The following is a 22,064-nucleotide window of genomic DNA, read 5'->3' on the forward strand; positions in this document are numbered from 1 at the left end:
TCCCCACTTTTCAAAATTTTTCTAAATTATAACTAATGTCTTTTTAAAAAATCTTGCTATGGGAAATTAGAAGACATAATCATTAAACAAACCACCATATACCCATTTCAAAATTACCAACATTTTGCCAATCTATTTTTTCCATCCTCTTCACCTTATCACATTTAAACATTAATAATTCCTTAATATCATCTAATAGTTTATACTTAAAGTTCCCCATTTATTAAAAAAAAATCTTCTAACAGTTGGTTTGTTTCTTTAAAAAGGGTCCAAACAAGGTCTACATATTGCATTTGCTTGTCATGTCTCCTAATCTCTCTTTTTTTCTTGAGATGGGGTCTCACTCTGTCACCCAGGGCTGGAGTGCTGTGGCAGGATGTCGGTTCACTGCAACCTCTGCCTGAGCTCAAGCGATCCTCCCACCTCAGCCCCGCAAGTAGCTGAAACTCATTCCTCATCTTCTCAATGAACCTTATCTTGATCATTCATTTGAGACTTCCAACACTTCCCTGTGTCCCTATAGTTGATCTCCTTTTCCTCTCTTTTCCATTGCACTTTTCTAACATGCTGTATAATTTACTTATTGTTGTTATTGTTCACTGTCCGTTTCTTCCCACTAGAATACGAAGTCCATGAAGATAGGGATTTTTGTCTGTTTGATTCATTGGAGGTACTTAAGAGTGGTACTCAGTAGGTACTGCTTAAATAAATGAATAAATATTCACTACTTTATTAAAGAAGAATATATATGTGTGTGTGTGTGTGTGTGTGTGTGTGTGTGTGTGTGTGCATGTGTGTATATATATATACATATACATATTTGAGACAGAGTCTTGCTCTGTCACTCAGGCCGGAGTGCGGTGGTGCGATCTCCACTCACTGCAACCTCCGTCTCCCAGGTTCAAGCGATTCTCCCTGCCTCAGCCTCCTGAGTAGCTGGGATTACAGGCACGGGGCACCACGTCCAGCTGATTTTTTTGTATTTTTAGTAGAGATAGGGTTTCACTATATTGGCCAGGCTGGTCTCAAACTCCTGACCTCAAGTGATCCACCTGCCTTGGCCTCCCAAAGCATTGGGATTACAGGCATGAGCCACCACACCCAGCCTAAAGAATTTGATTAAACCTAGCCTAAAGAAGAATTTGATTAAACTCTATTTAGACAAACAATTGATCCATGCACTTAGTACTAGGAACCCTCAGAGTTATAGTCTAGTTTAGGACCTGAATATATTTTTCAGGAAACATAATCAAACAACAAAATGGGTGAAGTTGATTTCTTTCCAATTTTCCTGATGTGAATTGTTTTTCATTTTGCCTAATAAAATATTTGTCACTTGCAAGATTGATGACTATTTCAGCCTATAATTTTCTCCTAAAAATCTTTAAAAATGTCATAAAAGATGGGAAACTGCTGAAATTTAAAAGCAAGCATACTTTGTTAAAATAAAACACTGAAGTTTTAAGCCTCACTCATATAATTTGTATTTATAATATGGATTCAGAACAGCGTTCCCAAAGTGTGATCTGGAGACATCTTTGAGGGTTCCCAAAGCCCATGGGGTCACAACTATTTTCATCATACTATTAAGACATCTTTCACTGTGTTGACTAACATTTGCACTGATGGTGCAAAAGCAACAATGGGTAAAAGTGCTGGTGCTTTCACTCGAATTTAGGCACCAAACTATACTAGTCATCATTACAATCCCCACTGCCATATACTTGCAGGAAAAAAAAAATGCCACTTCGCCTAAGAATGTCCTTGATGAAGCAACAGACATTATTGATTTTATTAAAGCTCAACCCAGGTCACATCTTTTTAATATTCTGTGTGATACACAGGAAATACATACAAAGCACTTGTGTTGCATACTGACTTATGATCTGTAACAAAAAAAGAAAATGCTTTAAATTGTGAGTCAAACTGCCACTTTTTTTTTGGAATACAATTTTCCCTTAAAAGAACTAATGACAGACGGTGGTTATTCAGATTTAGGTTATGTGGCATTTTTTTCAACTAAGCCTGTCTCTTTAAGAAAAACAACCAAGAGCATTTGTTTTCAATGGAAAAACTTGCGTTTTCAGGCAAAAATTAGTATTCTGGAAAACTTGTATCTGCTACCATGATCCTTACAGCTTCCCAACAATTATTTTCTGATGCAGTTACCAATGCTGGTAATTAACCAATATGATGCTTTGATATTATATAATGAAATGTGTTAAAATTTGGAAGTGCTACATAACTTAGGGAACCCAAGTGACCAATACATGATGTTACAAAATCACGCAAAGGTAAAAGATGAATTTTAGATAATAGAGCAGAAAAAGTTCATCAATATGGTTTCAGATTCCATTTTGCAACTAACCTTTAGGACACTACCATTTGGTATAGTGTCTTATCCACACACTACACCAAGATAATACTTCTCTGTTATCTATACTACAGCAGAGAATAAATTATCTGTTTTGGTGTAGTATCAGAGAAGAAATTATCTAGAAAGGTTATTAAAATATTTCCTTTTCAAACTACATAGTTATGTGATTTTTCTTCATATACTTCAATCAAAACAACATACTGCAGCAGACTGACACAGAAGTAGATGTAAGAATCTGGCTGTCTTAAACTAGACATTAAAGAGATTTGGAAAACTACAAGACAGTGCCACCCTTCTCAGTAAATTTTTTGTTTTGAAAAAGTTATTTTTCAAAAAATTTATTTTAAGTTAGCATGTAATAGGTTTATTATTGTTTTTAAGTGAATTAAATGTTTTTAAATTTTCATTTTTAATTCCTAATATAACAAAGATATAAACAACATTAGCAAAAGTTATTTAACATTCTCAATATTTTTAAGTGTGCAGAGAGATCCTCAGACCCAAAAGTATGAGAAATGCTCTTTTACAGTTTTACGAGCACCCTTCCATTTATTATTTCAAACTATCCTTGTAACAATTACTTAATTATCTGTCCTCCATAGTTTCCCTCAACTGGCAAATTTTTCAGTGGATTAATGTGGCTAGCTTACCTTGCACTCACAATGTTTCCAGCATTCAATTCTACCATTTCTTCAAAACCAATTGCAAATATATCAGTTGGCTTACTTCTTTTATCTAAAATTAAGCATCCAAGAAATACTTTTAAATATAGCCTCAGGCAAATAGCAACCCCATCCAACACAACATAACACCAGGTCTCATAAAGACTGATTTCTGTGTTTTGAGTTTAACCAAATTCATATTAAAGGCAAACACTCTTGAGTGGAATGAAATTATTAAAATTTACTTTCTATTAGGGTGTCCTAAGTTTGCTTCTTTAAGACGGTTATCCTTGAAGATTCTTAAGCCCTTTCAGAATTCACTTTGAAAAAACTCTTGCTAAAGTTTTTACCAGGGACAGCACAGAAACAAATCATTTCTCAAATCAAAATCTCACATAAAACTGGAGAGAGAAATTATTCAGAAAAGGCACAAAGAATAAAGTGACTGAGAAACTACCTCAAATTGCTGGTAACAGTTGGGAGGAATTTTTCACATTCATATTTGAAAAACATAATCTTGATCTTTTTGCTATTTTCTGGGTGAAAGAAATCCAGGAAAACTAGGAGAGATCCAGAAAGTAAGACACATCACTCTGTCTAGCTGCTGGCACTCTGGAAACTACAAGGACTAACGGAGAACAGAGCTGCCTGAGAAAGCAGCCCAGGGAGACTTCGGGTGCCCCAAGTTTCTAGAAATGAGGACAAATAGCTAGAAAGAGCCTATATGGCCAGATGCTACAGCCCCTGCCTGTAATGCCAAACACTTTGGAAGGCTGAGGTGAGAGGATCACTTGAAGCCAGGAGTTTGAGACCAGCCTGGGCAACATAGTGAGACCCCCATCACTACAAAAAAATAAAAATAAAAAAATTAGCTTAGCATGGTGGCATGCCTAGCTATTCAGAAGGCTGAGGAGGGAGGATCTCTTGAGCCCAGGAGTTTGAGGTTATCGTGACCTATGATATGGAGACTGCACCACTGCCTGGGCAACAGAGAAAGACCCTGTCTCAAAAAGAAAAAAAAAAGAAGAGCCTATAAATAGTCTGAACTAACACTGAAATTAAAAAAAAATTATTGACTGCTATTATGTGCAAGTCTCATGCATACATCATCTTATTTAAACTGCCATAAAAACATCTTCTAAGAAAGATTATTTTTATCTTTTATTTACAAACAGGAAGCTTGCCCAAGTTCACACATAAAATGCAGCCTGGCATACACACTCTAAAGCCAAACTGCCTGAGTTCAAATCCTGGCTTTGCCACTACTGCACAAACATGGGCAGGTTCCTTCCCTTTCAATGTCTCAGTTTCCTCATCTGTAAAATTGGAATAATGGTGTCTATGAAATAATAGGTCAGCTCTGAGGATTAAATGAACACATGTAAGGTACATAGAATTATAGTGTTAGCTGTTATTTTATTATCATTACTATCACAACTTCAAGTTAGGTTCAATTAAGTAAGAAAGGGCATTTTAGGCCAGGTGCAGTGCCTCACGCTTGTAATCACAACACTTTGGGAAGCCGAGGCGGGTGGATCACCTGAGGTCAGGAGTTTGAGACCAGCCTGGCCAACATGGTGAAACCCCATCTCTACTAAAAATACAAAAAATTAGCCGGGCACGGTGGCAGATGCCTGTAATCCCAGCTACTCAGGAGGCTGAGGCAGGAGAATCGTTTGAACTCGGGAGGTAGAGGTTGCAGTGAGCCGAGATCCTGCCACTGCACTCCAGCCTGGGCAACAAGAGCTAAACTCAATCTCAAAAAAAAAAAAAAAAAAAAAAAAAGAAAAAGAAAAAGAAAAAGAAAAGAAAGAAAGGTATTTTAATAAAAAGTTTGGGGAGAATCCCAGGGTTTAAGATGAAACTGATGAAAAATAACTAAAAAAGAAAAATTTTATCTCACACCATTTCCTATACACATCACCCTCACATATAAAACTTGGTAATTATATACTATTTTAAAAAGGAATTAAAGTTAATTTTTAAAAAGAAGAAAATTAAGTTCATGATTCTAATCAAAATCTTTTTCTTTCTTTCTTTTTTTTTGTTTTTTTGTTTTTTTGAGAGTTTCACTCTTGTCACCCAGGCTGGATGCAGTGGTGGGATCTCCGCTCACTGCAACCTCTACCTCCTGGATTCAAACATTTCTCCTGCCTCAGCCTCCCGAGTAGCTGGGATTACAGGCGCACACCACCACACCCGGCTAATTTTTTTATTTTTAGTAGAGACGGAGTTTCACCATGTTGGCGAGGCTGATCTCAAACTCCTGTCCTCAGGTGATCCACCTGCCTCGGCCTCCCAAAGTGCTGGGATTACAGGCGTGAGCCACCGTGCCCAGCCCAAAACCTTAACAAAAGTATCCTCTGCTAAATGTTTGGTTCTGGCTATTTATTAACAGTTTGGTGCAGAGAACCCAAACTGAATGCCAACAAAGTTTTTCAAGGATAAACCAGTGCTCTTAAGTTATTACATAAGTACCAATAAATATCACAAGTTTTATAAGGCTGCTCAAGACCCACTCTGACATTTCTTATCTTAGTAACTAAATAGAGGATTAAGAATTGAAAAATGGGACATAGTAGGTTTGAAAAATAAAACTCAAGTGATCAATTATATTTTAATTATGTAATTTTAATTAAAATTAATAAATGATCAATGTTAAATGGACATAATCTTGGTTTATGTCCATAATCTTGGTTTATGTCCATTTAAAATAAAAACAAAACTAGATTTTCTTATATGTGTGGTTGCCTTCAAAGAAATCTATGTGTGAATTCCTATTTCCTGAGAATCAATTATGGAAAAAAGATTTTTTGTTTTACCATCATATATTTTTATGAAGTAGAAAATAATGGTCTAGAAATTTTAAAAAGCTGAGATTTTAATAGATGTGATCTTTAAAGATGTTGTTGGTCTTCAAATGTATAGCTCCAAGTTTCTTTCATCAATTAATGCATCCTCTGAAGTGCTATATTTGTTTTCTAGATCAATACAACACAGTCAGGATTTATTAACTAAATCCATATTATAAAAAGCCAACCTTGAAACTCCTGGATGCCAGCTAACTTGGGTGCATCAAGAAGCCAGTCAGTGAGTGTCTGATTCTTAAAAGCTATGCTGCGAAATTGCTTCCCACCATTCACATTCCAGGTTCCGACACATACTCGAATTTTCTTAGGCTTTGAATATTTGTAGAAATTCTCACACATGCTCTTTAGTACTTTAGAAGATGCTAATCAAGAGAAGACACAATAGAATTTTAGCTGCATCAAACCATTTATAAAAATTGATTTTCATAACTGAGATACGATGTCCGCTGGAAAGCACAATTATTATCACAAGCACAAACAAGCAAAAGATACAGGCACAGGCACAAAAAAAGATCAGCCTTCAATGCAAAGCCTGGTATGAGGCAATTAACCAACACATCTTTAAAAAAAAAAAAAAGTCAACATTAAATACAATAGCCAAAGTAAAAAAAAAAATACTACACATACAGAATTATTGCAGCAACATGCAGAACAAATAGTTCTGTTTCAATGAAATGGTACATTAATGTACAAATCCAATGAACTATACATTTTTAGGAATATAGCAATTAACTTTCTACAATTTTCATTAAGAGTCTGGTAAAAATATAAATTTTATTTTTCTCCAAACAAAAACATTTAAGAACATTTACATTTAAGATTGTAGCTACTGACAGGCAGCTTGATGAATAATGGCTCCTTGAGAAAAATACAAGCTGATATTTCTGAAAATGAAATCACTACTAAATGCTTCCCATCTCACTCAGAGTGGAAGCCAAAGTGCTTAAACAATGGTCCACAAGGCCCTCAACAATTTGTCTTGTTTTTCCACCCTCATCTTCCACTCTCCCTGGTGCACTCACTGCTCAGACACTGGCCTTCCTGCTGTTTCAAAAACATATGAGGCCTGCTTCCACCACAGGGCCTTTGCACTGGCTGTGCCCACAGCCTGCAACACTCTTCCCGCACATCCTTCAAGTCTTTACTTTCCAATGAGGCCTTCTCTGACCACTTTATTTAAACTGCACTCTGCCCTTAACTTTCCATTATCCCCTCCCTGCTTTATTTTTCTCTATAGCATTTATCACATTTATAAACTATGTATTTTATTTATTTATCCTGTAACTGTCTCCCCTCATGAGAATGGAAAATCCATGAGGGCAGACATGTTAGTCTGTTTTCTTTATGGGAATACTCCTAGTAACTAAAAGACTACCTGGTACGCAGTAAGTGCTCAATAAATAATTGTTAAATGAATGAATGTTCAATACATTTTGAATCCTCAATCTCTCCCGTTTTTTTTTTTTTTTGGTCTACAACCCATCTTTTCCCTTTCTAAACCACATTCTATCCTGGTTAAATTCTCAGCATAGAACCTTAAAAGCACCTCAACCTAAAAATCTGTACTTCATTGGTAGCTAACCGGTAACAGGAAAAGGACATCAAAACTACTTTCACCTTTTACCACATGATCTTATTTTATTATGATATTCTCTTATGATACCAAGATATAGCAGTCTTATGAGGAAATGAGAGTGAAAAAGGCGAGTGATGTCTTAGTATTCTTGTAAAGATAATTTTGACCTGTGGAACTGCTGATTTAGATAAGTATATCCCCATTGTTTCCAGGGGCAGATATGCAGATTTCTCACCACCTAGCTGTTTGCTTTGATTGCTTGTATAGAGGTGTCTGGGTGGTAATGAAAGCAGATTACTTGTCTGGCCTGTTGGTATGGTTAATTCAAAGCTGACTGTACCTAGATAAAAATAATTCTCTATAATTATGGTTTATCATTGCTCTTAAAAATTGAAGTCACTGCTTGTTACCAATGCGAACATAGTGTCTATAATCCATTCTATATCAACACACAAGTTCTATAATAATTACACGGCTTAAAATATTCAGCAAGACAATGAACTGTGTGAATAAAAACGTACTGCCTCACTGTATGAACTAATAAAGTCAAGTCAGTTTTTAAATGAAATAAAAAGATAAAAAATAGTCCTAGTTTATTCTTAACTGGTGCCACCTTAATGTGCTTAAAGAAACAGAGAGTCAAAAAAATAAAATAAAATAAAAAATTTTAAAAAAGAAATGAGTCTATGCTCAAACAACAGATGTCCATCCCTAAATACCATACTATTTCAGAAAATGGTGTTCATTATATAACTCAAAAATATATCTAGGTGCTCTCTTCCTCTACCCTTCTCGAGAAAATAATCAACAGCTTCTCAAAACATTCAGAACAATAACTAAGCCAAACAATTCTTAAGTGATAGCAAATCCTTTTCAACTAAATTTCTGGCAAGAGTTAAGCTTTCATTCCTTTTGCCACAGATTCATGTTTAAAGACAAGATCATAAACCTTGCCCAGAGAATGAAGACGTGAGATTCCTAGGAATAAATAGGCAAGAAAAATAATAAATAGTCTTTAGGTCTCACACACTTAACTATTCTTTGTTAGAAATCTTGGCACTTTTTAAAATTAAAAGATTTCAGATCATATTTTAGTGCAAGTCTATAGTTTTGAAACTATTTCATTCACAATAAGGAAATGCAACAATGCCTTCTTAAATATTATATGTGAGAAACACTGTTTAGTAGTTGTAAATATCACGGATGGCACTCAGAAATTAATTCAAAGTAGTTACATCTGGATTTTTTTCCATCAGCCTATTAAGAGTAAGGCATAACACTAATAATATTTGTTCAATGAAATGTAAAAGTGAAATTAAAACTAGCTGAATTATCTTTAACTGGAATTAAGCAATTGCTACAGGAAGACAAAGAGCACTGCACATTTTCTTCAGAATGAAGTACTTAATTTTCTCAAGCTTGAAATTCTTTTCTCAGATTAAAACAAGATATCAATTTATCCTGTTAGGATCTGATGGCAAAATGAGAAAGTTTCCAATTATATGGCTTTATTTGTTTACAATATCGACTTCAGAAAAAATAAGAAAAAATTGCTTTTATTTATAGATTGATTTTCTATACTGTACCTGACTGTAATGTCTGCTCAGAAACTATGGATGCAACAAGAAGAAAACAAAGAATCATTAGTAAAAACAAGTTACAATTAAAATGTTGAGTATAGTGACAAAACATTTTGAGAAGACCTCACTTAAGTCAATTTGATGACTTTATTTTTTTCTGATAGCTATAGAACACCAAGTGTTACAAATAAACGACAATGATTGATACAAACCTTCTGCACCTAAGAAGAATCCTACAGTGACTCAGTGATATCCACCGTTTCACCATCAGAAGCTCCTAGGCCTGCGCTTCTGGCTGCTCCTGTGTGTATGTTATGCATGCATGCGCACATGTTTGAGAATATTATGAATATAAATATGAAAACCTAAGAAGATGGAGGATGTTGAAGATATGGAAGATACTGCCCTAATACACACCTTTTAGTATTCTTTCTGGGACTTAGCAGTTGATAAGTATAATCACTTCAGCTATAACAAGAAAAATGCATTCTAAAAACATCACCATGCTATGCAAATTTTGCAAATTCCCACAGCCACAGGGCTTATGGGAAAAATGGGGTTGGGGTACCACGTTCAAAAACTTCAACAATGACACATCAAAAAAGATGGGAACCTCATAAAAATAGTAGCAAGACATTATACATGTTAAATGGTTATGAAATGCATGAATATAACCATTAATAAGGCACTTCATCTTGAATGAAGTTGGCTTGTAGAAATGGGCATCAGGCAGAGTGCAGCTTGTAATATGAATAATGGAGAAAGGGATATCTGAAATTCAATGAAAAGTTGAAAGAACAGATGTGAATGTGTATGGCTCATAACACACATAGTGAACTGAGGCAGGGGAAGATGTTTGAGGTGTGTGTGCATATGTGTATGTGTGTTTTATATGTTGTACATATTTCTAGCCATCTTAGTTCTGCTGGGTGCACTTTTCTGCATTTACCTAGTGTTGCTTCCCAGCAAAATCATGCATAAGCTCATGCAAAATTGGCCTTATGCTCAAACAGTTCCCTAATATATCATATTGGAACAAATTCCCATTCTCAGAACAAGCGTTACAGCAGAACTGACTGTACTTTTTTTTAAAGGTATGATTTTACTTATAGTAAAATGCGCAGGAAACTAAAAACACTAATGCTGAAGTTTGAGGATTACATAGGTCCCTTGTTTCTCCTCTTCTTTCCTTCAACCACTTACTTTCAATTGTTGCTTATTAATGCCTCCACATCAATGTAGGCACAGGTGGAAAGAGGTGACAAAACACAAATCAGTCAAGTCTCTACTTTTGGAAGCCAGGAAGAAAGCCTGAAGTTGAAAGTAGTAGCTAAGATCAGACATTTTTTGGAGTTTTAGTAGGTCTAAGTTCCCTAGCCCACTTACAGGTCCCTGAGGAACTGTCCGTAATTAACTACCTTTAGGCACCATGCAAATTCTAAAATAATCCATAACTTATTTGACCAAGTAATTACCCAAGAATACATTACTTGATGCAGAAACAATTTTCTCCCACTTGAACAGGGAACATTAAAAAGTTTGGTTTAGGGCTAACAGAAAAAAAATTTCTTTTTCAGAGTGCTAAAAAGTTAAAATGGAAAAAATTTATTTTGTCAATTATACCTCAATACATTTTAGAGAAAGAAAAAGTAAGTCTAATCTATTAAATTCTACAATGAATGTTGAGTTTTCCCGTCATGCTACTTTTATGTGCTCACTGATAGGAGAAGTTTTTTTTTAAAAGACACAGTGGAAGGTGAAAACCTATTCTGAAGGTCATATATTTATTTCAAATATTAAAATTGGTAATAGCAGTTAGTGCCCAATAATTAGCACTACTTTAAATTATTAATATGATTTAATGCTTATTCAAACAATAGCAATTAAAAGTTAAGACCAAGTTACAGAAACTTTTGGGATAGTGATTTAAAAAATAACCAATATAGGCATTAGTTTTCCCAGTAAAGCATTTTTCTGCATAATTAGATTATTAAATGCTGTATTACAAGTACTAGCTGAATATTCTATGAAATACTGCCTTGTACAAAGTTAACAATGCTTAATTATTTACCCCTCAATCATAATCTATAGAAGAAACCATGCAAGGGCCTCAGTTTACAGCTTAGTAATACCACTGATTGTACAAATATTTTAAAACAGACAAACTTCCCTTGGAGAATGTACTTTTCAAAAATTACCTTTACAGAAATCCCTTCAAAAACTATTTTAACCAACTAAAAATTCTGTGTAAATAAGTTTACATTTACCTCTTGGACCTTTAGGAATATAAATAACAAATAAAATATAAAGTGCACATACCACGCAAACTTCCAGTAGTTAAAAGTGCTCGAGCTTTGTCAGCTAAATCACTATTCAGAGTATTTCCCAGTAGCAAAACATCAATGGCCTCTTGCTTGGAGCTGTCAAAGAAGTTATTCTGAATTGTTCGGGTAACAGAGCGAGCACCATCTTTTAACTTTCCAGCCTGTTAAGAAAGGAGCGCAGATTTTCATTTTAAATATTACTGATTTTACTCATTAGGTTTTTTGAAATTTTAAATCAGTTTTATATGATTTTAGTATAAAAAAGGACCTAATCGTTCTATTTTGAATATATAGTCATGACAATTAAAATGCCTCCAACATGTCACTGTTTCCTTTCTTCTTTTGGATTAAAGCTCTGCACAAAGAAATGAAAAAGCTCAGTGCTACAACCTCATCCAGTAATTACATCTAGGGCAACAAATGTTTAAAATTGCTTATTACAAAGGAAATAAACTGAAGTGAACTTATTTAAAACAAGAAAATTCCTTCTTACAAGGTAATTTGTAAACTTGGGGATAAAATGGGTAAGGAGAAATGGGAGATAAAAGAAGATACACTGAGCTTAACTGCCCCTAGAAAAACTTCAAATTACTTTGGTAGTAGAAAAAGAAAATGGAAATTGCTCCCAAATAGCTTACATGAGTTAAAATTAAAACTAAACCTAAGAATGAAGGTCTAGTCTCAAAAGAAATTTACAAGTACAGTTCATAAACGAATATTACATGTAAACTACAGTTTGTATATTTTGAGTCATTTTATTGCCCATGCAAAAATACATCATAAGATAATAAACTTATTCCTATAGTGAGATTTGATTATAACTTTTAATGAATATATATTTTACTTAGGCATGTTAGTTACCATAATGATTTATTTTGATCTTACAGATTTTGATGATTGTCAAAACAAAAAACTTGCGTCTTTTAGGAAATAACTTCAGTTTGCAATATGTAATTTTTATTCTTTAAAGAAATAACAGTAACTCAAGGCTTCTTTTTAGAATAAAGAGCCAATTTTCTTAAATGCCACTAAATGAAGAACCAGTTTTCTTCAATGCCATTAAATGAATGCTACTATATTTAATAAGCAATTAATGTTTGGCATTAAGTGTTATTTCTTTCTATATAATAGCATATGCAAATGACATTATTTGAAAAGACACTCACCATTCACATTATCAGGCAATTAATCAAAAGGAACCCAGAGAAAAGGAAAAGAAAGAGCAGTTCAGATGTTAGATTTTAGTTCAATTCAGGCTAGCATATTTAATGTATAAAATTTTATATCTATATATTATGTTAAAGATAAAAGACCACTGAAAATATATGTAACCTCTGTACATATATTGTAGTCACTGCAGAAATGAAAAGGTAGAAGTATATAAAAGAATATTTTAAGCAATAGTTTGAGAATCAGCTTTTAATAGCAAGAATTATGTTGTTTAAAAGGAATAAATCAAAGTTTAACAATTTGATGTTTACAAAAATAGGGACCACTTAAGAAGTAAATATTTGTAAAAGTCAATACAAATTATTTCTATGAGTTGAACAAAAGAAACTTTGCAGGTAAGGCCAATACCTCTGGGCAGAGGCATGGCATATTATGAGACACAGAAGAGGAAGACTTGGAAATTAAAAGAAGACTTGGAGACCATGAATGGTCTTTAAAGAATTTCAGTTGCTGTATGGAAGAAGCTGAATGAGAACTATAAAAGTGATAAATGTTCTCATTTCTATTCTTGAAATAATTTGAGAAATTGTGGAGATTTAGAAAGTTGATAAATTCAAGTGAGGCCAGGATCCTTAAAAAGTTAAACAATATTTAAGAATATAAAATAATGAAAACTATCTCAAGTATTGTTCCAAACTCCCTCAATAAGGGACAAATACTTGAGAAGAAAGTAGTCTGTAGATAATACCAGGAAATAAAAAGTAATGATGAAACAGACAATTATAATTAAGTCCATTCTTTTTTTTTTTTGGAACAGAGTCTCACTCTGTCACTCAGGCTGGATGGAGTGCAGTGGCGTGATCTTGGCTCACTGCAACCACCACCTCCTGGGTTCAAGTGATTCTCATGCCTCAAACTCCCGAGTAGCTGGGATTTCAGGTGTGCACCACCATGCCCAGCTAGTATTTTCTATTTTCAGTAGAGATGTGGTTTCGCTATGTTGGCCAGGCTAGACTAGAACTCCTGGTCTCAAGTGATCCACCTGCCTCAGCCTCCCAAAGTGCTGGGATTATAGGCGTCAGCCACCACACCTGGCCCATATCTCACACTTCGTTGGCACATCTTGATAGCCACCTTTCTAAGGTAAGATAAGTAAAGATCAATTATGCCCTAATCTTGGGTTCCTAGTAAGCACTGCATAAGCTGTTGATGGACTTACTTGTCCAAGTGGCATACGTCACACATCTATTAACAGTAGGCACTGTGTTAAGTGCAGGGAACGCAAAGCCAAATAAGAGAGAACCCTTTATTAAGAGGTCTATGGTTTTAAAAATCATATTTGTAATCAAAACAAACAATACAAAAAGTAAAACAGATATACAAGGGAAATCATGAAAAAAAGAGCAATATATATCATCTTAGTGGATTGTCACTAAATGACTAGATACGTTATATATACATACTTCCCAAACTTAGGGAAATACCTATCTTCCATTTATTCACTAGTATCCACTGTGAAAGGAAGTATCAAAGAAGGCATAAAAGCACATTAAACAGAATTCTAAGACACATCTATTAATTTAAACCATCTATTAACTTTTAAAAGGCCATTTAAAAGCTTTATGAAGAGAGGAAAAAGAGGATATTCTGTAATGTTATGATAGATCTAGATATACCTTCGCTTTCCCTTCAAGAGCTCCAGTTCCTGCATATATCTTACTGATTGAATCACCATTCACGGACCACATTGACCGAAAAACTTCTTGAAAGCGAGTCACCAACTGAGGCTTTTCAGCTAAACCAAGAGCTTCCAACTGTTTAGCTAGCATCTTAAAAAGCAAACAAGAAATTTTTATAAGTACATTAATATATTAATTGTAATATGGCTTTTAAGAACTACCAGAATCAAACCAAAAATTTATCATTATAGCACTATTTGGGACTAGCTTCTGAAAACATAACAGTTTACTAGGCTGAGTTATTTCCCATCATTTCAATTTTTAAAACAAATACTGTATCAATGGAAACTACAAGTATTGATAAGGACTTCTTTCTGGTTAAATGATAAAATTTATCTTATTAAAGTATCCCTATAAATCAGAGTTGTTTACCTTGCCCACCTAAAAGAATTCATCAATCAACAGCCTGCATTAGAATAAAAAAAAGTTTACTTAGTCCTAAACATAAATAACTAGGTCTCTTTAACTTTTGGATTTGGCTTTATAAGTTTAAGTAATTAAGGTAAAAAAAATGAAAAAAAGGAGTTGCTCTTAAATTGTCACAAAATAAAGAAAATAAGTAAAACTTCTGAATGAAGTCATGACAGCTTTTTATGCATAAAATCCACATCGGTAATATATATAAGGGAAGAACTAGGGGGAAGAGCATGCAAGAAATTCAAGGACCTCTCGGCTTCCACAAGTCCTTATCACATATAACAATAAAAGTGTTCCAAAAAGTTATTGATCTTTATATGCAAGAATTCTAGCCTATAAATCTGACAGAGTCAATGTTCGATCTTTATCCAATCTGTGTATTTGGAATCTAGTCATATTCTATGCCTTGCATTTTAACTTAACTCTTTCCAATTTACGTTTTATTTTATCATGTAAGTATGGTGATCATCCATAATTATAGAAGAACCAAAAGCTAAAATAAGATTAAAAAAACCTTAAACTGGGTTCATTTAATTACCTAGAGACTTACACCAGAGCTGTTCTTTGCTAGCATGGAGAATAAAACAAAATGAGCCCCAGGGCCTCCTTTATCATTTAAATCTTTCTTCAAGGAACTGGGCAAAACTGATCTTATTCCTCTACTAGTTTGGCTTTGTCTATCTTGGTGTCAAACTTTGTAACCTGTCAACCAATTGCTATCCTAGGGAGTTTTCTAATTCCTAACTATCAACAGTGGAGAATCAGCTAAGTCAGATCCTGAAAACTAACATCTGTTATAATTTTGATGAAGAGGTCCAAGTACTTCAATAAGCTTATTATCAGAATCCATGTACATTTATTCAGCCACTTAAAACTTGAAACAAATCCAAGGCATGTGATAAACTCTTATCTAAATGACCAACATGCTTGCTTTCATTTTCTTGTTTCTGTCAAATTTTCTAAATAAATTACAAATAAACATCAAAAACATACTCAAAAAATCCAAACAGTAAAATTTATTTAGTTACATGAAAAATATATTCTGTAGTAGAGAATTTTATACACTGTACTTTCATTTTTGAGATAAAGAACCTCAGCTGCAAAGTAACTAATTAACCAATACTCAGGTCAAATTTAAGATCATTAACTAAAGGAAATAAGAACATGTAACTTCCTATTGCTGTTTTTTTATAGTATTTGAGAACTATGTTAAGTTCTGATGGAACTAAACGAAGTTTAGCCACAGCCTTATAACCTTAACTTGCAGAGGAGGGAAGACTTAGAAAGCTCAGCATTGCTAAATAGTTTGTCAAAGAGTTGAGACTATGTTTATCTTAGGCTGAATCTGATGGATAAGTAGTAAAGAAAAAAAAAAAAGAAAAAACGTTGCAAACAGCGACCTTATCAGAGAAGTTGAATTGCATTCATTTTCATTCTCACTAACTATGGCATTTTCATCTGATCCTGTTTTTTTATAGCTACTAATTTGAAAACACCAAACAAACTGGATTGGTATCAGAGAAGTTGAATTGCATTCATTTTCATTCTCACTAACTATGGCATTTTCATCTGATCCTGTTTTTTTATAGCTACTAATTTGAAAACACCAAACAAACTGGATTGGGTTACAAATTGTCAAAAATATAGTCCTATATAATTGTACATATGAAAATAGACCCTTCTTATCCTAAAATAGATTTTTAAAAGACAACACAGAGAATAAAAGGCCAAATACACACATACACCCACACCCACACATATATATTTCCTCCAAAAGACAGGGAAAAAATTGTTGAAATACTATAAACAGCAGATTTTAAAAGGGAGAATAAGGAACAACAGAAGTAGATAGAGAGCTACCTAAAGAGAATATGAAGATCAGGTAAAGGAAATATTTAAATCAAAAGAAAGTTTGGCCAAAAAAAGAGACAGAGATTAGAAGTACAAAATGAAGCATAACATTACATACACTTTCTGGAAGGTAATAAGAAACATAAGTATTCAAAAAGCACTTAAAGAGGCAGATGATACAAGGCACATACATTTTAATTTATTCTTTTACCTCTAAGCCAAGAAATGCCTGCACACTATTTGTTCTATCAAGACAATCCAAGCAGTTTGTTCGAACTGTACCACTCTGGCATCTGTAACCAATAAAGTTAAATATCCAGTTTGGAACAAAAATAAAGCTAAAACAAACAGTGAATAATTGAGGTAATTAAAATGTAGCATCCACCTTCCCTCTCCAACTTTTTATTATTACAGTATTCAAATATACAAAAAAAATTATACTGTGAACATCCATATACCCACCATTTAAATTTGACAACTGTTAACATTTTGTCACATATGCTTCATTACATTATCTATCACACACTTATTTTTAATTAGGCCAACAATTAGAAACTAAATATACATTCAGGTTTATGCTCTTACAGTTCTTTGCACATAAAATAAAAATATTTATAGAACAAAATTTTTTTAAACCTAAGATCTGTTATCTCTAATGACTGTGTCTACAGCATTGATGCTAAATAAAATACAAATTGAAAAATTAAAAATTTGAGCTTTCTGCACTAAAGTTTCCCTTAACCTATATTCTGAACTTAACTCTCTTAACATTTACTTTTCTCCTCTATTTCACATACAAAAACTGAATATTTAAATTATACTAAAGCAGACAGTAAACAAAGCCTTTCACTTCTATTTGCATTTAATAATCTTTACTGGCATCAAGAAATATTAAAACGTAAGTTTTAAAAGAGAAGCAAAACAGTTTCATATATAACAGCATGAAGTATGGAGCCAGACGAATCCCAGTTCTAACACTTGCTAATTATGAGACTTGCAGCAGATGGAAATGGGCATAATAATAGAGTCTATCCCTATAATTGTTATTGATACATGTTAAGACTTAAGTACGGCCGGGCGCGGTGGCTCACGCCTGTAATCCCAGCACTTTGGGAGGCGGAGGCGGGTGGATCACGAGGTCAGGAGATCGAGACCATCCTGGCTAACACGGTGAAACCCCGTCTCTACTAAAAATACAAAAAAAAAACAGCCGGGAGTGGTGGCGGGCGCTTGTAGTCCCAGCTACTCAGGAGGCTGAGGCAGGAGACTGGCATGAGCCCGGGAGGCGGAGCTTGCAGTGAGCCAAGATCGCACCACTGCACTCCAGCCTGGGCGACAGAGCGAGACTCCGTCTCAAAAAAAAAAAAAAAAAAGACTTAAGTACACTGCCTGCTCCATAAAATGCGCTCACTAATGTAACCTCTCATTATTATTTGGTGAATTCTAAAGAAAGAAAAACAAGTTTAAAATCAAGTATAGGATGGGTGAGATGGCTCATGCCTGTAAACCTAGCACTTTGGGAGGCTGAGGCAGGTGGATCACTTGAGCCCAGGAGTTTGAGCCCAGCCAGGGCAATACAGGGAGACCCCCGTCTCTACCAAAAAAAAAAAAAAAAAAAAAAAATAAGCCAGGCATGGTGGCACACACCTGTAGTCCCAGCTACTCAGGAGGCTGAGGTGAGAGGATCTCCTGAAACCAGAAGGCAGAGGCTGCAGGGAGCTGAGACTGCACCACTGCACACCAGCCTGGGCAACAAAGTGAGGCCCTATTTCAAAATAATAAAAATAAAAATAAAATGAAATATTTAAAAGATATTTAATTATAAACTTTAATTTTAAAAAGAAAATTTAAGAGTTCAACGTTAAGAATAATTTTTAATTAATGTTCCAATTCAAAGAACAGAGAAACAGAACAGTCAAACCTTTGAACTTCACTTCCATTGAAATAAAAAAATCCATAATCTAGAAACTTCTGGACTTGAGGTTTAAGAACACTATGTAATTTTTCTGCCTTTCCTCCCTTAACCATTTGATGATAGTCAAAATTCACCATCTGGATATCAGCAGCATGTTCAGAAGCTTTCAAATGACTCTGAAAGTAAAAAGGCAAATATTCATCTAAATGAAAGTAAAAAGGCAAATATCCATCTAAATATTCATCACATTTCATTGACACTGGCAATAAATCTTTTCCCTAAAGCCTCAAAAACTATCCCTGAGAGATACGGTGACACAATTAACATCAGTGTACTTAAATAATATTCTCATCTGGCTTAGGAAATAAAAAATTATTTCCAATTGCCAGCATTTTATTTTTACAACACAAACTTACTATTTAGACCTATTATAGAATCTCAAAGTCATCTAAGACAAAGCCTATCAAAGACTGAAAGATTCATATTTTATAACTTCATTCAATACATACAAATATTCTTAAATTTTACCATAAAGTCACTCTGTAAAGTATAATCTGTTTATTAACAATATTTATTTCACCAGATTAAAAAAATAGCTATAAAATCAGGATGCTTTTGGACTTAGGAGATTGAACTTTAGAAAATGTTTTCTAACAATCTTGTTTAAGTTTATAATCTTATGTAACAACATAATTTATATTAATTCATTATTAATTCAATAAGTGTTCATTAAAATATTTTTTCTTTAGAAGTCAGGCAATTTTGGGGTTCTTTTTGACATGAAATTCTCAAGTTTTCTCTCATCAGTACAAGAAGGTATAGCGTTGCATGTATATAAATGCATCATTCACAATTCCATAGGTGAAAAACAATGACTATGGTTCTAGGAAGCAGGCAAAGCAATCAACAGATGAAGAAGGAAACTGCTATTTCTCTACTAGTGACAGATAAACATTTTTGGCAAGGAGGGTATTTTTCTGTTTCTCTACAAAATAAAAAAGCAGATTAGAAAACAGTGTCATTTGCATTGAAAGCTTTTTAGAATCCCAATTTCAGCAACATTAGCCTAAATTGTTTCTTAATAGACCCAAAGAGTTCAAGTTTCCAACAAGTACCCAACCTTTTTCTTGGAAGTAATTTACTTCCTGGAAGAATCTGATTACTGTATTATTTTATTTTTTAATACCATTCTAGGTGTCCATGGGCCAGAATGAAATAAGAAATGACCATACTTACCTGGAAAGCTTTACTTAGCATATGTTCACCTTCCTTAGATCCAAGCAAATTTACTATTATTTGTTTACCATATAAGTTCTTAAGTGTTCTAAAATGCCTATTTAAGAAAGAAAGGAAATAAATACATGTCAAATAAGAAGCCCAATTTTTTCAATAAACAATAATCCATTATTAAATATAACTTACATGGCAGTATTTTAAACACAGAATTGGAAAACTGGGTGCGAATTCATTGTACATGGTCTCAAAGCCGAATTTACGAAAACTCATGAATGCAACTTCCTCTCTGACTTATGGGTACTGAGACTTCCACCCCTGTTGGAGCTGTGGAGGCATCCAGCTTCTGCCCACTCTGTGAGGCTGGCACCAGACAAGACAGACACCAGCCATAAGCTTGACTGGAAAGGCAGTAAGGGCAGATGGCAAAGGGCTGCTGCTCACATGTGAGGACATCACCTACTCCGTTGAGTATTCAGAGGGACCTCCTTACTAGCTCCAGTCTTCAGAAAAATGGGCCCCAAATACGAGTCTTTTCTCTTTCCAGCTTCTAACCATTCCAGAAACTATGTAGAGCAATGCCACACAAAGAAATGTAACATAAACCACACCTATAATGTTAAATTTTCAAGAAGGTGCATTTATAAACATGAAATTAATTATACTTTCTTTAACTCAACATGTCTAAAATATCATTTCAACATGTAATCAATATAAAACAACTACAGTTAACCTTTCAACAACACAGGTTTGAACTGTGCAAGTCCACTTATATATGGATTTTTTTCAACCAAAGAAGAATCAAAACTACAGTATTCCTGGCATGCAAAACCCATGAATATGAATGATGACTTTTCATAAGCATGGGTTCCACATGGCCGACTGTGGGACTTGAGTATGCACAGATTTTGGTATGTGAGGGTAGAACCAATACTCTGAGTATACCGAACATGATTTTACTAATGAGATACCTTACATTCTTTTTTATTTTTTAAGGCAGTCTTTGAAATCTAGTGTGCATTTTATACTTGCAGCACATCTCAACTGAGACTAGTCACATTTCAAGTGCCCAGTAGCTACATGTGGCTAGTGGCTGCTATACTGGACAATGCGCCCACAGAGGAAGTTTTAAGGTCAAGAGATCAAGACCCACACTTCCAGCACTACCACCCCCAGAAGTCGTAACACTAGGTGTCACTGTCTTTCAATTAAATTAGGAGTCAGAGGAATTTTATTTAAAGCCAAAAAAGTTTGAAGTGAATCAGTAAATACAAGCAGTCCCACTGCTTAGCAATATCAAAACTTAAAGCACTATGTAAAAATTGTCTTACCTGTCAAAAGCAGGTGCATTGGCTTCAAATCCCCTTGACATACGGACACGATGAGATCCCACCTTAGACAAGAAAAATATATTTAATCAAACCAAAAACCAACATATAGACGAAAGAAATATCACTGCTTACAATATCTAACAATTTCTTTGCTGAACACACAGTCGTTAATCAAATAACTGATTTCCATTCATGATATGCTTTTAAAAAAACAAGTTCCAGGGAATTTCCACCCTCCACCTTTATTTTTAAAAAACCAACCTCATCAAAAAAAGAAGTTACATCATTATGAAATACTCGTAAACTAGTAGGAATTTTTATTGATGAAAACTATTTTTAAAGGTGTTTTCATATATGGTACTTTGTTTTAAGTTCAAACTACATGCCCTGTGTAACAGATACTATTACCATTTGGGTAATTAAAAAAACCAAAATACCAACAGGTAAAATAACTTGCTATCTGAGATCAACATAACCAATTCCAAAAGAGATTCAGATGAGACTTTATGTCTCTGACCTAAATTCCTACTCCTCCAAGCTGCCTACCAATACAAATGTCTATGTGTTTTCTTCTCTACTATGTTGAATATTCTATTCACACCAAAGTTCCACCAAATTGAGAATATCATTCCTTCCTGGAAAAGCAGACTTTCCAAGTCAACCTTGCCATCACCCAATTATAGTATTTGCACATTTTGCAGAATCAGGAATTTTGGGTTAAGCAAATTAAACAAGATGGAAAATATCTACCTATTGTATATTGTTATAATTTTTCTTTTCTTACACAGGAGAATAGCAGAGAGATGAGGCATAATTGAGAAAGATATAACATGCCAAGAAGAAATATATAGGTGAGACCAGATTATTTCCCTGAACTTCAATTTAAACATTTCTCTCTGAGACGTTGGAATGAAGGTTGCCCAATCACAACAAGGATCACTGAGGGGGGGCAAAAAAGTTGCCCAAAATTCATTCTTGCTAACCTGTGAACAAAGTGCTTTTTTTTGTGGGGGACGGAG

The 22,064-nt window shown here is 34.2% G+C and overlaps 1 protein-coding gene across 24 annotated transcripts in view; it reads right to left on the bottom strand.

The window, feature by feature from the left end:
- The window catches only part of SYNJ1 (synaptojanin 1), a 99,636-nt gene that overhangs the window by 38,502 nt on the left and 39,070 nt on the right, over positions 1-22,064 (bottom strand). For 9 of the 24 annotated variants that reach the window (XM_017028499.3, XM_047441036.1, XM_017028495.3 and 6 more), the window contains 8 exons: positions 21,046-21,107; positions 19,718-19,814; positions 18,488-18,657; positions 16,778-16,859; positions 14,236-14,388; positions 11,385-11,550; positions 6,080-6,271; positions 3,028-3,112 (listed from right to left, as the gene is read on the bottom strand). In XM_017028499.3, coding sequence (XP_016883988.1) covers positions 3,028-3,112; positions 6,080-6,271; positions 11,385-11,550; positions 14,236-14,388; positions 16,778-16,859; positions 18,488-18,657; positions 19,718-19,814; positions 21,046-21,107 — 1,007 coding nt within the window. Of the gene's footprint in view, positions 1-3,027; positions 3,113-6,079; positions 6,272-9,071; positions 9,096-11,384; positions 11,551-14,235; positions 14,389-16,777; positions 16,860-18,487; positions 18,658-19,717; positions 19,815-21,045; positions 21,108-22,064 lie in introns of all 24 variants that reach the window. The other 15 variants (XM_017028497.3, NM_003895.4, NM_203446.3 and 12 more) reach the window with 3 other exon arrangements.

The sequence above is a fragment of the Homo sapiens genome, chromosome 21 (genome assembly GCF_000001405.40).
Source record: "Homo sapiens chromosome 21, GRCh38.p14 Primary Assembly".
In the NCBI taxonomy this organism is placed as follows: Eukaryota; Metazoa; Chordata; class Mammalia; order Primates; family Hominidae; genus Homo; species Homo sapiens.